Here is a 15,474-nt window from a genome sequence, read left to right as displayed (position 1 = left end):
AGCCTGTGAAAAATGGGCTTGGCACCAATCAAACAGAAGGCAATACATGGGAATGGTTGAGGCACTCAGCAGTGGAATAAAACTACAGCCTCACTCACTCACAACCCATGGTCCTTGCCCATGTACTGAATTAAATAAGACATTTAACTCATTTTCAGAGCAACCTGTATAAATAGCTGCAGCAGATTCCGTGAACTGAAAGAAGAAGCCAAATTTTGTTTAACTTTGTGTCCCCAATTCCTGGCGTCAAGCTTGATGCTAAGTATATGCTCAATAAGTGTTTGTTACATGAACACATGGGCACAAGAGTGATTCTCTTAAAATTAAGATAGACCATGTAATTCCTCCACTCAAATCTTTTAGTAGTTCACATCTCATCCAGACACAAACTCAAAGACTTTTTGATGCCTGTCAGAACTTTACATGGTATGATCCTGAGCTCCACTCTGACCTTGTCTGTCCACTACTGCTCTACAACACACCGATTCCTCCCCAGCCACTTCATCGTCCTCTCCTTGTTTGTAAAACTCACCAAGCATTCTCTAGCCTCAGGAACTCTGCACTTCCTAACTTCTCTGCCTGGATTGCTCTTTCCCTACATATCTGTATGTCTTTTCGGTCTTTGCTCACACCATTTCCTTCTCCATTAGGCCTCCCATGACCATCATATATAAAATTGCAATTCCCAGCCTCACTCCCCAACACTTCCTGCTTCCAATCACTGCTTTATTTAGTCATTTATTCCTACTCCAATTTAACAATGAATATTGATATATTTATCTCTCTCTCTAGCTAGACTATAAACTCTTCCAAAGGAAGAGTTTATATATATATATATATATATATATATATATATATATATATATATAAATTTATAAAGAAAAAGAGGTTTAATAGACATATATATATATATATATATATATATATTCTATCTATCTATCTTAAAATAGTGCCTGGCACAGAGTAGTCACACAGTAAAGATTTGTTAAATGAGTGAAAAAATGGCAGTTTGTGCCAAGCATTGAGTGATTCCATGAACAAGAAAATGCACCTTGGTAATGAATGCTGTTGCTACAGCTTAGTACCAGAACTGTCTCTTTAAAATTTACCTGAAAGCGCCCTTGTTTCTGCTACTCTGTCTTCTGATCACACTGAGGCTTCCTGAGGTTTCCTTACATGGCCTGCTTGGCATGCCGTGCCTCCTATTTCTAGGCCATAGCACTTAAAATCCACTCTCTTATAAATTTTCAGGGAGAAGAGGCAAGATGGCCAACTATATGCAGGCAGGAAGAACATCTCCCACAAAAAGACCAGATAGAGAAGACTGGCACGCTCTGAGCAGACCTTCGGAAGGAAGGCATTGAGAATAGACGGAGGGAGGATGCAAACCCTGAGCTGCAGGGGGAGTAAGGTAGGAACCCTGTACAGGACTGCTGAGTACCAGGACTTATTCCTGGCCTTCAGTGGCTCCTGGGGAAGGAGTGAGTTAAATAGGCAAGGAGTGGCCTACTCTCACCATGGATCTTCAGAATCCTAGCTGCAGGAGACCCTATGACCCCCATGAACATTTGAGCTGACAGGGACAGCTGCTTGGAGAGGTGGCAGGGACAGAACTCTAGCCTGTGTGGAGCCCAGAGGGTTTGGCGTGGGAATGGCTACAGTGGAGCATGGCCAGGGATGTCATACCCCAAGGCTTGCCATGCTCCTCTAGGTGGCTTTGGCTTTTGTTGACTCTTGGACCTAGACAAAGCAGGGTGGTCTTGCCTGTGGGACAGGACCAGTCTGATCTGAGCAGGCCCCTGTTTGTTGGCCTCTCCTGTGGTCCCTGCCTGGCTGTATCTGCTTGCAGCGCAGCCTTGGAAGCACTTTCTGGTAGCCATCACCATAGATTCTTTGCTGGTAGTCCCCGCCTAACTGTCAGAGAGCTTCAGTAGATGGGCCCCAGAGGATGTGCACTTGCCCACAGCCTCCTCCCACTGCTTTGCCAGCATGTGTGGACCTCACCACGCTATTGCCGCCAGTGCACACGTGAACCTCGCCACTGCTGCCCTGCCCCTGCCAGTGCAGGTGTACAGTACATGTGTGCATATGGATGCCACCACCCCACATTTGCTGGTGTGTACACACCCTCCCACACCACTGTTGCCACCAGCATATGCACACAGACACCACCACATCAATGCTGCTGGAGTGAGCACACGCATGTGGTCTCTACCACCCCACTACTGCCGGCATACATGCACATGAGCATGGACCCTGCTGCCACCACCCAAATGAAGTGCTTTTGCCGGCACCCCATCAGAGCATTTTTACCAGTGGAGTGGGAACACCTCAGCCCCTCCAACACAGCAGGTGCTTAACCTCGAGGGGCCAGAGAGTAAAGCTGTAGGCTTGGTACCAACCCTCCAGGGTTAGAGCACACAGCCTAGGAGTGGTGAGCTGAGTCTTGGCACCCTGAAATAATCCAGGAACAAAGCCAGTCAACTGGGTCAAACCCTCAAGGGCACTGAAGAATACAAAAGCAAAAAAACCCCATCCGAAGGACAGCAATGTCAAATACTAAAGGAACATCAGCCCACACAGATGAGAAATAACCAGCTCAAGAACTCTGGCAACTCAAAAAGTCAGAGTGTCTTCTTACCTCCAAACAATCACACTAGCTCTTCAGCAATGGTTCTTAACCAGGCTGAAATGGCTGAAAAGACAGACATTGAATTCAGTATCTGGATAGTAACAAAGATCATTGAGATTCAGGAGAAAGTTGAAACCCAATCCAAGGAATCTAAGGAATCCAATAAAATGAAACAAGAGCTCAACCAAACTGATCTGATAGAGCTAAATAACTCACTATAAGAATTTCACAATACAGTCAGACACTGGATCACCTATATTCATAAAACAAGTTCTTACATACCTATGAGGTAACTTAGATAACCACACAATAATAGTGGGGGACCTCAACATCGCAATGACAGTATTAGACACATCATGGAAGCAGAAAACTAACAAATATATTTGGGACTTAAACTCGACACTTGACCAAATGGGTGTAAAAGACACCTATACAATATATGTTCTTCTCTTCTCATGTGGCATGCACTCTAAAATCAACCAGACACTCACACATAAAACAATTCTCAACAAACTAAAAAATACTCCAAATCATAAGAAACACATTCTTGGAGCACAGCACAATAAAAACAGAAATTAATACTAAGATGATCTCTCAAAACCATACAATTACATGGAAATTAAACAGCCTGCTCCTGAATGACTTTTGTGTAGACAATGAAATTAAGGGGGGAAATCAAGAAATTCTTTGAAACTAATGAGAACTAAGCTATAATATACCAGAATCTCTGAGACACATGTAAAGCAATCTTAAGAGGAAAGTTTATAGCATTAAATGTTCACATCAAAAATTAGAAAGATCTCAAATTAACAACCTAATATCACACCTAGAGGAACTAGAAAAACAAGAGCAAACCAACCCCAAAGACAGCAGAAGAAAAGAAATAAGCAAAATCAAAGCTAAACTGAATGAAATTGAGAAGCAAAAAAATGACACCAATGATCAATGAAACCAAGAGTTTGTTTTTTGAAGGAAGAGGACTAATAGGCTGCTGGCTAGACTAATAAAGAAAAAAGAGAGAAGATCCAAATAAACACAATTAGAAATGACAAAGGGGACATTTCTACTGACCTCACAGAAATACAAAAAATACTCAGAGACTACTACAAACACCTTTATGCAGACAAACTAGAAAACCTACAAGAGATGGGTAAATTCCTGGAAACATACAACCTCCCAAGATTGAAACAGGAAGAAATTAAAAAGCCTGAAGAGACCAATAATGAGTTCTGAAATTGAATCAGTAATAAAAAGCCTACGAACCAGGAAAAGCCCTGGACAAGACAGATTCACAGCTGAATTATACCAGATGTGTAAAGAGCTGGTATAAATCCTATTAAAACTAATCCAGCGAATTGAGAAAGAGGAACTCCACCCCAACTCATTCTACTCTATGAGGCCAGCATCATTCTGATACCAAAACCTGGCAGGGACATAACAAAAATAGAAAACTTCAGGTCAATATCCCTCACGAACAGGGATGCAAAAATCCTCAACAAAACACTAGCAAACCGAATCCAGCAGCACATCAAAAAGCTAATCAAACACAATCAAGTAGATTTTATTCCTGGGATGCAAGGTTGGCTCAGCATGTGTAAATCAATAAATGTGATTCATCACATAAACAGAACTAAAAACAAAATCATATGATCATCTCAATAGACACAGGAAGGGCTTTTTGATAAAATTCAACATCCTTTCTTGTTAAAAATCATCAACAAACCAGGCATCGAAGGAAACTACTTCAAAATAATGAGTCATCTATTATAAATCCACTGCCAAGAGCATACCGAATGGGCAAAAGCTAGAAGCATTCTCCTTGAGAACTGTAACAAGACAAGGATGCCTGTTCTCACCACTCCTATTCAACATAGTACTGGAAATCCTAGCCAGAGCAATCAGGCAAGAGAAAGAAATAAAAGGCATCAAAATAGGAAGAAAGGAAGTCAAATTACCTCTCTTCATGAACAATATGATTTTATACCTAGAAAACCCCATAGTTTCTGCCCCAAAGCAGAGACTTTCAAAAGTTGGAGAGGAAAAAAAACTAAAAATATAATATATTGCTTTTATCTGTAGTCAACCATAATTTAAAAAAAATCTCTAACTTAAAAAAAAGAAAATTCACCTGAAAGGAATGCTAGTCTTGAGATAGGTGGAAGATTTGTAGGAGGTAATTCTTTAAGTTGTTTGTGATTATCTTTGACAGCTGGAATAATAAACCAAAATAGTGCTAATGTGCAATATAGAGGTAGCAATTGTGTCTTAGCTCTGTATTACATATCAGTCTGCAACTTTGTATTGGTCAGTAGAAAAGAACCAGATGATCATTGTGATTTATTAAATGTGTCTCCTTAATTAAGATGAAAGAATTGATGCATTAATATTATCTGCTGACTGGAAAAAAAATCCAGTGAGCAATAAACCCTTCAGATTCTGATAAAATGATTTGGGTTGGGACTTATGAAAAGCTAGTTCTTTTCCAATGGAGAGAAGTAGGGAGAGATACCTTAAATTCTGAGCCCTGGAATAGATTGTGGCTGCATCTTTGGCTTTATAACCAGCCATTAGAGTAGGGCCCTAAGAACCAATGACACACCTTTGGCTTTCCCTTGGATGGAAAATATAGGGTACCAAGTCAATGGTTCAGAAAGTGCCATTAACATAGCATTATCCATAAGTCAAACCACTCCCTAGGGGAAGGAACTCCAGACTGAAAGCCTTGTCTATCTTGAGTGTGTTCTATCTTGGGGTCATGATAAGAGGGGAGAGGAGGGGTTGAGATATGGGTTTCATGTACACATCCATATGTCCCTTAAATAAGCTTTCATGAATATTTGCATTAAAGAATGTTTAAATCTGGTCAATCAAATGGGTGGCTAAAGAGAACTCAAATATACTGTAAACTAAAAAATTCTGAAATAATTCAAATGAGGGTACTACGGTTTAAATGTGTTCCTCAAATTTCATGTGTAGAAAACATAATCCTGGCCAGGCATGGTGGCTCACGCCTGTAATCCCAGCACTGTGGAGGGCCAAGGCAGGTAGATCACCTGAGGTCAGGAGTTCAAGACCAGCCTGCCCAACATGGCAAAACCCCAACTCCACTAAATATACAAAAAATTAGCTGGGCATGGTGGCAGGCACCTGTAATCCCAGCTACTCAGGAGGCTGAGGAAGGAGAATCGCTTGAACCTGGGAGGCAGAGGTTGCAGTGAGCCGAGATCAGTGAAATTCTGTCTCAAAAAAAAATAAAAAATAAAAATAAAGAAAACATAATCCCCACACTCATATGTTGATTGGTTGTGGAGCCTTTGTGAGGTAATTAGGATGAGACAAAGTCTTTAGGGTAGGGCCCTCATGATAGGACTGTTGACTTTATAAAAAGAAGTCACTTAAGCTGACCTGCACTCACTTGCTTTCTCACCATGTGATGCCCTATGCCACATTATGGCACAGCAAGAAGGCCCTCACAGATGCTGGTGCCATGCTTTTGGATTTCCCAGTCTCCAGAATCATGAGCCAAATAAATTTCTGTTCATTATAAATTACCCAGTCTCAGGTATTCTGTTATAGCAACAGAAAAGGACTAAGACAGAAAATTGGTACCAAGAAGTGTGGTTGTTGGTATAGCAGATACTTGAAAATGTAGAATTAGCTTGAGAACTAGGTAACTGGTAGAGGTTGAAAGACTTTGGAAGAACAAGCTAGAAAAAGCCTGAATTTTCATAAACAGAATGTTAAGAGTGATTCTGGTGAGGACTCAGGAGGATTGACTAGGAAAAGTCTGAAACTTCTTAGAGATTACTTAATTTGTGTGACCAGAATGTTGACAGAAATATAAACAGTAAAGGCCATTCTGATGAGTTCTTAGATGGAAATGAAGATCAAGACATTGGAAACTGGACTAAAGGCCATCCTTGTTATTCTGTTGTAAAGAACTTAGCTGCATTGTGTCCATGCCCTAGGGCTTTATGGAAGGCAGAATTTAAGAATGAGGAACAAGAATATTTGGTGGAAGAAATATTTAGGCAGGAAAACATTCAGGCTGCTGCATGGCTACTTTTAACTGCTTATAGTAAAAGAAGGAGATTAGTATTGACAGAACAAAGTTAGAGGCTATTCATCAGGACAATGGGACATCAATACATGATATGGAATTCAGAGAAATGCTCTTTTCCTAGAAGCAGATGAGGCAATTTTGTATTATAAAACTGAATAATAGGTGTAAGAGTCAGGAGGCCTGGATTATCGTTCCAGATATACTACTCTGGGCACATCACTTAACTCCACTGAGCCTCAATTTCCTCATCTGTAAACAAAATCAATTGTATTTTGTCTGCATACTTTGGAGGGTAATTCTTAAAATCATATAAGGACACATATGTCTGATCACTATATAAGCATAGCTTAAAAACATTTTTTTAAATAAAAAAACTCATAGCTTTTGTTAAAACAATCTTAATCCCATAAACCCCAGTATGGACTGACCAATCAACCCAGCAGACAGCTGGGATGGTGTGGGCAGAGGATATTTAAGTCTATCAAAAATCAGATTTCTTTTGAAACAAGTCATTGTCTTATTTCTGAAGTTGCCCATATGCTAGCAATACCATGAGATTAAAATTCACAAAAGTTCTTTTTTTTCCCTTTTTTTTTCAGGATTTAAATATTTCACAGTTGAATTTTGAGGAAAAACAACTCCATGTTTAATGTTTTTACTGCTCCTTAAGGCTCCAAGTCAGGATTTAAGACCCTGCCTTGAAAACCTTAATAGAAGATGAAACTATGCTAACTAGGACAATGGAAATTCATGTATCTACGTGGAAGGATCCTTTGTGTGTGTGTGTGTGTGTGTGTGTTGGTGGGAATCTCTACTGGGTAGCTCCTCACTGTAGTGGGAGAAAAAAATACATTAAAAATAATACAGGGGCTGGGTGCGGTGGCTCATGCCTGTAATCCCAGCACTTCGGAAGGCTGAGACAGGCGGATCACGAGGTCAAGAGATCGAGACCATCCTGGCCAACATGGTGAAGTGCCGTCTCTACTAAAAATACAAAAATTAGCTGGGCATGGTGGTGCGCACCTGTAGTCCCAGCTACTCGGGAGGCTGAGGCAGGAGAATCACTTGAACCTGGGAGGCGGAGGTTGCAGTGAGCCGATATTGTGCCATTTCATTCCAGCCTGCCGACAGAACAAGACTCCACCTCAAAAAAAAATAATAATAAAATAATAATAATAATAAAGGATGCTACTCTATGAAAATATATTTAAAAGGCATTATTTTCTCCTCTGCTTGGGGAACAGAGTTAAAGCTGTTCTGAGGACTCTGAAAAATTTCTCAGAGGTCTGAAGTCAACAGACACTCCCCTATGGCCTCAGTTTCACATGTAATTTTTCTTTTCCATGCACACATGCCCCTCTGCAATGCCCTTTGAGATTCATTTTCCCTTTTAAGCCTGCCTGCATGAGGCTGCATTTCATACAGAAATTGTTATCTCTCTTTATTACTCTGTTACTCTTCCCAAGAAAAAGGGAATACTAATTTTATTGGTCAGATTTTGGAATACTTTATAGAAAATTTACTATTGTATGCGGTCACTGCAAATTAAGAGGTTGTACATATGATATTGAGGTATAGCATTGAAACTCTTTAAGTTCAATGTTAAAATAGACTTTGAATGAATGAAATAAAATAGGCTCTAAATCTACAGTTCTTTCCCTAATATTCATCTTAAGTCTTCAAAACCAGATTCCATGTAATAGTCAGACAATGGCATGGTGAATTTTCTTGTTTTCCTTTTCCTCCCAGATAACTAAGTTTTATTTTCTCTGTCATTCATATCTTCAGCCCAGAAACCCAGTTCCAGACCACTGTAAGCAAGGCTATAGGTATAGATAAAATAAACTTTTTTCTTGTCTAGGAATTTATATTGTTGTTTTTATTATAGGTTACCAAAGAGTTTATTCTTATATCTTTTGACATAATAAATGCTAAGCTTTCTCAGTTCTCTGCCTCCAGCCATTCTGTCTTAGGGATGTGAGTATTTACAGCTTTTGGCTGCAATTAGTGAAAGCAAGTTTGTTACTAGTTATCATTTTGGAGTTCATGAAATTCTTGTGAAAGTCTTTCTCTCTGAGTCAGCCAGGACCTGGGACTTTGCTTGACTCTCATGACTTGGGGTATACCACATGGGAAGATAAAATACCTTAAAGTTCTGCCATGATAATGGTCTCTTTCTAAAGGATACTGACTAGAAGGCAAAGGGTGGTGCATAGGATTCATTAGACATAACGGTTGGCTGTAGCTCTCGCTCTGCTCCTCTCTCTTCTTTATCTTGCTTCCAAAATAAATGTGCATACAATCACTGAGGGGTTTTTGTTAAAATAGAGATTCTGACTCAGTAGGTTTGGAAGCCACAGATTCTGCATTTTTAGCAAGTTCTCAGGTGATACAGATGTTGCTAGTCTATGGCCCACACCCAAAGACCAACCTATGGGAGGACACTTCAGCTCAGCTTGCCAGAGAGTGCAGTCCTCTAGTAGTGTAGCAGGCACAAATCTACCTAACAGTCCATTGGTATTTTGATTCATTCAGCTTCAATCCATTGTATGCACTACTTCCTCAAGCTCTTTTTTTTTTTTTTTTTTTTTTTGTTTGTTTGTGAAAGAGCACGCTTTATTGGGAAGCAGACTGCTGCACAGTGACCAACAGGCCACCCAATGGGCACTTACACATCGTACTCCAAAAGACACAGGATGTTTTGCTAATAAAAATCAGTGGGAACAGGGATTCCTCTGGGCAACTCCCCCAGCCTCATCCCTTTCAGGGACTGAGAAATCTCCCAACCATTTTCCTGATGACAGCCATGGTTCATTAGAGATACAGCCCCTCAGGGGTGCCTTCCTGTTTCTTATAAAGAACATTTTCTTTAGATTTTTTGAAGTCTTCATTTGTTACTTTCATTCTACGTTCTCTTAAGGCCATCAGACCAGCTTCTGTACAGATTGCCTTGATGTCAGCACCAGAGAGGTCATCTTTAGCCATGATCAGGTCGTCCAGGGTTACATCATCAGCCAGCGTCATCCTGCTTGTGTGAATCTGAAAGATGCGCTTCTTCGTCTTTTCATCAGGCAGGGGGAACTCAATCTTCCTGTCAATGCGGCCTGGTCTGATAAGTGCTGGATCCAAAGTTTCTATTCGGTTTGTGGCCATGATAACTTTCACATCTCCCCTAGAATCAAATCCATCCAACTGGTTCAGCAGTTCCAACATTGTTCGCTGAATTTCTCTCTCACCACCAGAATTGGAGTCTTATCTTTTTGTCCCAATGGCGTCAATTTCATCAATAAACACGATGGACGGTGCATGTTCTTCAGCAACTCGGAACAATTCCCGTACGAGTTTGGGCCCATCACCTAGGTACTTCTGAATAAGTTCAGAGCCAACCACTCTCAAGAAAGTGGCTGAGGTTTGGTTTGCTACTGCTTTGGCTAACAAGGTTTTACCTGTGCCAGGTGGACCATAGAGAATGACCCCCTTAGGAGGCTTTATACCCATCTCTTCATAATATTCAGGATGGGTGAGAGGAAGCTCCACAGATTCCTTAATTTCCTGAATTTGGTTGTCCAACCCCCCAATATCTGCATAGGTCTCCTGGGGGGCCTTTTCTACCTTCATCACTGTGACCAGGGGATCCGTGTCATCCATCAGCACCCCTATCACGGCATGCACCTTGTGGTTGAGCAGGACCGAGCAGCCAGGTTCCAGCAGATCCTTGTCTACAAATGAAAGAATGCTGACGTAGTGTTCTGAGCCCACAGATGTAGACACGATGGCATGATTGTCATCAATGATCTCTTCCAAGGTTCCTACTGACATCGGGGTCCCCCTCAGATCATCCACTTTTGATCTTTCCTCCTCTTGCTTTTCTTCTAATGGTTTCATTTGTTCCTGATTTCTAATGAATTCTTCCTCCATGAGAAGATAGTCTTTAATTCTCTCTAACTTCAGTAATTTTAACCGGCACTGAGTGTGAGGTGTCACCAGTGGCAGTTTGCTGGCAGCATCTGGTCCCTTTGTTTTCTTCTTCTTTTTCCCCACTCTAGTTGGTACAGGAGGTTCATATTTCTTTTTCTTGTCCTTGTCATCCTTCTTGCCACCTCCAGGACCATGACCACCACTCTGACTTTGACCCATCTTGCCTTGGCCACTTGAGCCCTCAAGCTCTTTTTGTAGAGGGGTGATTGGGAAAGCAGGTAGGATCTCCTGGTACAAAAACGATACAAATTCCTTCAGGATATTACCACTCTTCCTACCAACAATCCATTTATATTTCTAGATTTAAAACTGCAGTAGCAAAGTTATCCTCCAGAGGATAAAAACTAGTGGCCAGAAGGATGATTACTGGTGGCCAGAAGGTCACTTTTATTCCCTTTTCCTCCTTGATTTATGTTTAATTTAACTGTCTTAAGCTATCCAGTCTCCATGGATGGCATCATCAGTTAGGCTGCTGATATTTTTCAAGACTTCTGTGAAGGGGCTAAGAGCTTTTTCAAACTAATGATACCTGCATTAAAATAACTTCACCAACACAGCTTTAAACAAGTGGGAACTCAACAAAGCTGCAAAGGCACATTAGCCTGTTTAACAAGGCAGGCGGGCAGGATGGTAGAGAATTTTTCTAGTTGGATTGAGGATGCTTACAGCCTCTGTTGACGATCTGTTCCTTGGGATCAACAATAATATTGAATTGTATTCCTTCATGAGATGGCTCTTCTATAAACACTACTAAACATTTGCTTTGTGTTGGGGACCACATGAGGTATTGTGGGAACAGCAAAGATAAATAAGACAAGTGTTGGCTTTCCGGAGATCTAAACACAGGCCAGAACAGACATGTTAATGACTAGATTTTAAAGGATTCACTAGATGCCATTAATGTATGCATCCAATAAATATTTACTAAGCCACTACCATGTGCCAGGCAAAGTGGTGAAAATAATAGACATAGTCCCTTCTTCCATCGGAGCTCATTAAATAGCCAATTACACAAATAAATATGGGATGACAAATGTATGTAAGTATCATGAAAGGTAGATGGGCTATAAGGAAGCAAAAAGAGAGACCTGGTTGAGAATGGAATTAGAGAGAGCCTTTCTGAGGAAGGGACATTTCTCCTGAGACTCTGAAGGATAAGGAGGAGTTTGCTAAGTAAAGAGATGGGAAGACCAGTACAAAGGAAAGCACGGCATGTGCTAAGGCAGGAAACAACTTGAGACATTCCAGAACTAAAAGCAGACCAGCATGGCCAAATGGTCATGAGGGAGAGAGAGAGAGGAACAAGATGAGGCTGGACAAGCAGGCAAAGAAGCTCACATTGAAGCACCCTGCAGGACCAGACTCAGCATTTTCTTCTAAATGCAGTGGGAAACCACCAACACAATTTACATTTTTAGAAGTTGACTATGCCTGCAGACAGGAGAGAGGCAAAATTCTTAGTTGATGGACCAGTTGGAGCCGTCAGTTGGGTCATGTTCATTATGTTCTGAGTTCAGGGACACACTGCTGGCCAATAAGGTGCCAGCTACCACCAATGCTGGTGCCACTGCCCCATGTGAAGTCTCTGTGCCCAGAAAACCATGCTGAGACCAGGTGTTCTTCCAGGCATTAGGCATCACCACCAAAATCTCCAGGGGCATCGTTGAAATCGTAAGGGATGTGCAGCTCATTAAGACTGGAGACAAAGTGGGAGCCAGTGAAGCCATACGGCTGAACGTCTCCCCTATTCCTTGGCGGATCATCAAGCCAGTGTCTGACAATGGCAGCATCTACATCCCTGAAGTGCTTTACATCACAGGGGACACTCTGCATCCTCTCTTCCAGGGTGTCTGCATGGTGCCAGTGTTTGCAGATTGGTTACCCAGCTGTTGCATCAGTACCCCATTTTATCATCAACGGGTACAAAGAAGTCCTGGCTTTGTCTGTGGAGACTGATTGCACCTTCCCACTTGCTGAAAAGGTCAAGACCTTCTTGGCTGATCTACCTGCCTTGTGGCTGCTGCCCGTGTGACCTCTGCTATCACTGCTGCTCCTACTGTGGCCACAGCTACAGCCAAGGTTGAACCAAGGAGGAATCGAGAGTTGGACAAGGATATGGAGTTTGGTCTCATTGATCACCAAAAAGCAACCAACTTAGCCAGCTTTTTTTTTTTTCAAAACAAGTAAATAAAGACTTCTCTTAAAAAAAGAAAAAGAAGTTTCAACACAGACTAAAGTGCCTGAGGTCAAGATGGAGACAAATTTGGTCAGAATGTTTCTCTTATATTCTAAGGTGTCCTGAGGGGATGTACTTGGAGAAGAAATTTTGGAGCATGTACTTCAGAGAAGAAAGTAGACTTCAGAGATGACCTAAAAATATAGAATAAGTTAATCTTAAAGTATCCTTTTGTGTAAGACAATACACTAAGTGTTGTGGGACTTGAGTTCCCATCCCCATTTCACTATGTGTACATGTGTATACACAGTACACATGTGTAAACTTAGGACCGAATGCTTATTTTTCTCATATATAAACATTGATATGATCTCTAAAGCTCCTTTCAGCTATATGTTTATTCTGTGGAAATGAACATGGGATTTGAATCAGAGGAACTGGGTCTTTTGCTCACTCCTGTGACCTTGGCCAAGTCACTTAATCTTGCTGAAACCAGGTTCCTCATTTAAAAATAGAGAAATGATGCTATCTAGAATTGCAGACACAACATTGAACACAATGCCTGGCACTTTGTAGGAAGTATTTTGTAATGAATGAATACTTTTCTACCTCGTGAAGATTAAACGAGATCTGACGTAAGTTTGGAAACTATATAGCTCTGTTTCAATACTCACTATGAACTCAAATTTACATTATTAAAAAACTTTACTGTGTTCGGGGCTGAGCATGGCTCTTTATCCAGCATCATTTGTTCAAATGAGGGTACATCTCCAAATTCCTCAGCACGTATTAAAACAGCAGAAAGTGAGGCTGGATAAAAATGAGACGGTATACCATTTAATGAGCTATTAAACTTCCCACCAGAAAGCCAGAAACTCAGGAGTTCAAAATAGCAACAGCTACATAACCAGCCAAATAATCAGTTACATTTATGAGCAAGCAATCTATTCTTAATGCACCTACAAGATAAATAGGAGAAATAAAATAAAATTAAAAAGCCGGCTTTGGCTCAGCCTTCCCTGTAAGGTAACTTTATCGATCATCTTTAACACTTCCGATTTCCAGGCAACAGTTTCTTAACATGGACTTGCAGGTTTCATATGAGAATGACAAGTAAAGTATAAAAAGTTGCCTCTGCAGAAGAGTCAACTTTTTACACTTTAAACTACTTCACCTTATGTTGGAATTTTCTTGAAATGATGGCTTGAGTTTAAGCTGCCAATGTTATTTAAATGCCAGAGTGGTTGTTCATCCTCGCCCCCACCCCACAGCACTCCATTCTAGTTTCTCCGACTGCTGCTTTCCTATTCTTGAGAGTTGCAGGGGGTACCAGCTGCGATTCAGTTTGGCTTTGAAGTTCAGCGCCTTCCCCTGTTTCCCATGAATGATTTCTCTCATTGAGAGTTACTTTGAGCTCGAGGTAGAATTTAATGTTCTCAGAAGACTAAAAAAAAATCCCTTAGGTGTGTGATATGAAGAAAGAACATTGCCTCCTTATTTCTGCTCCAGTTCATCCATCTACAAGGCAGGCCAGTGGGAAGGCTGGAAAAAAGTCTAGGCTAAATTAATACTCTGGTTCCAATATTCGCTATTTATATATTGCATGAGGAAACCTGCTGGTGGCCCCATGGAGTGATCTGAAAAGGATAGGAGACAAAGACGGCTATGAGTACAAAGGGCATTGTGGACAAGAGCTAATGTTTCCTCAGGGGGAGTATGAGCCAGTAAGAATGTTAGTAAGAATATCAGCAAAAGTAGCAGCAATACCAGTAACAATAAGGTGCTACCATTTAATTGAGTGCCTCCAATGTGTCAGGCATAAAAGTTCCATCATATACATTGACTCTTGCACAGATGAGGAAATGGAGGTGAAGAGAAGGTCAGTGATTTGGCCAAATTTATTTAACTAGAATGACGAGGGAGTGGGATTCAAACCCAGGTACATCTCAGTCTACAGTCTTTTCATTTCATCAAGCTAGGGTGTCAAGAAGGATCTCAATAACTCTTTCATGGTGGCCTTATTTTTCTGTCCTCCCTGATTTCCAGGACTTATGTGAGGGTAGATGGAACTTGCTCAGGGCAAACGGAATGACCATGTTTTGCTAAGAGAGTGAGGGAGCTTTGATTTTTTTTCCTGTTTAAAGCTAAAACGAATCTGAATTGTGATGTGTTGGCAAAAGGAAAGAGGAATGGTGCTAAAAGTAGAAAACATCGTGGGATGTTTGCAATCTAGTAGTAGGTGCGTAGAGACCCAGCACCTACTTGCCCCAAGAGGAAACACCAAGCCCAATGGGGCATTCAGAGCACAAATAAATTATATCTGTCTGGGTGGAAGAGACGGACTCAGAAAAGGCTTCATGGAGGTGGTGGCTTTTGGTCTATGCTTCAAAAAGCAGAATTCTAGAAGGCAGAGATAGTATTCTAAAAAGCCTAACAGGGGAATTTTAATTAGTTGCATCTCAGACTACAGAGTGACTTTTAGGGCAGGAGAAACTTGTATATTTAAGCAATCTTCTTGGTCAACAAAGAAGGTCAGCCTTAGCAGTTTGCCAAAGTAGATATTATAACACTCTAGTAGAAAGAGATTTGAAACTGAAGTAGAAGGCCTGGTTTCAAATTCTAATT

The 15,474-nt window shown here is 41.0% G+C and overlaps 2 pseudogenes, besides 3 other annotated features; one reads left to right on the top strand and one right to left on the bottom strand.

The window, feature by feature from the left end:
• Window positions 1,549-2,049: an enhancer, noted in NCBI's record as "H3K4me1 hESC enhancer chr3:68693639-68694139 (GRCh37/hg19 assembly coordinates)". NCBI's record gives its function as "activates a minimal SCP1, AML or CMV promoter by ChIP-STARR-seq in primed H9 embryonic stem cells {active_cell/tissue: H9 hESC(primed)}" and the evidence as "EXISTENCE:reporter gene assay evidence [ECO:0000049][PMID:30033119]".
• Window positions 2,050-2,550: an enhancer, noted in NCBI's record as "H3K4me1 hESC enhancer chr3:68693138-68693638 (GRCh37/hg19 assembly coordinates)". NCBI's record gives its function as "activates a minimal SCP1, AML or CMV promoter by ChIP-STARR-seq in primed H9 embryonic stem cells {active_cell/tissue: H9 hESC(primed)}" and the evidence as "EXISTENCE:reporter gene assay evidence [ECO:0000049][PMID:30033119]".
• On the bottom strand, window positions 9,290-10,830 carry PSMC1P1 (proteasome 26S subunit, ATPase 1 pseudogene 1; annotated as a pseudogene).
• On the top strand, window positions 12,181-12,880 carry RPLP0P8 (ribosomal protein lateral stalk subunit P0 pseudogene 8; annotated as a pseudogene).
• Window positions 13,792-14,770: an enhancer, noted in NCBI's record as "OCT4-NANOG hESC enhancer chr3:68680918-68681896 (GRCh37/hg19 assembly coordinates)". NCBI's record gives its function as "activates a minimal SCP1, AML or CMV promoter by ChIP-STARR-seq in naive and primed H9 embryonic stem cells {active_cell/tissue: H9 hESC(naive and primed)}" and the evidence as "EXISTENCE:reporter gene assay evidence [ECO:0000049][PMID:30033119]".

Source organism: Homo sapiens, chromosome 3, assembly GCF_000001405.40.
Source record: "Homo sapiens chromosome 3, GRCh38.p14 Primary Assembly".
NCBI lineage: Eukaryota > Metazoa > Chordata > Mammalia > Primates > Hominidae > Homo > Homo sapiens.
This window is presented reverse-complemented; position numbering and strand designations above follow the sequence as displayed.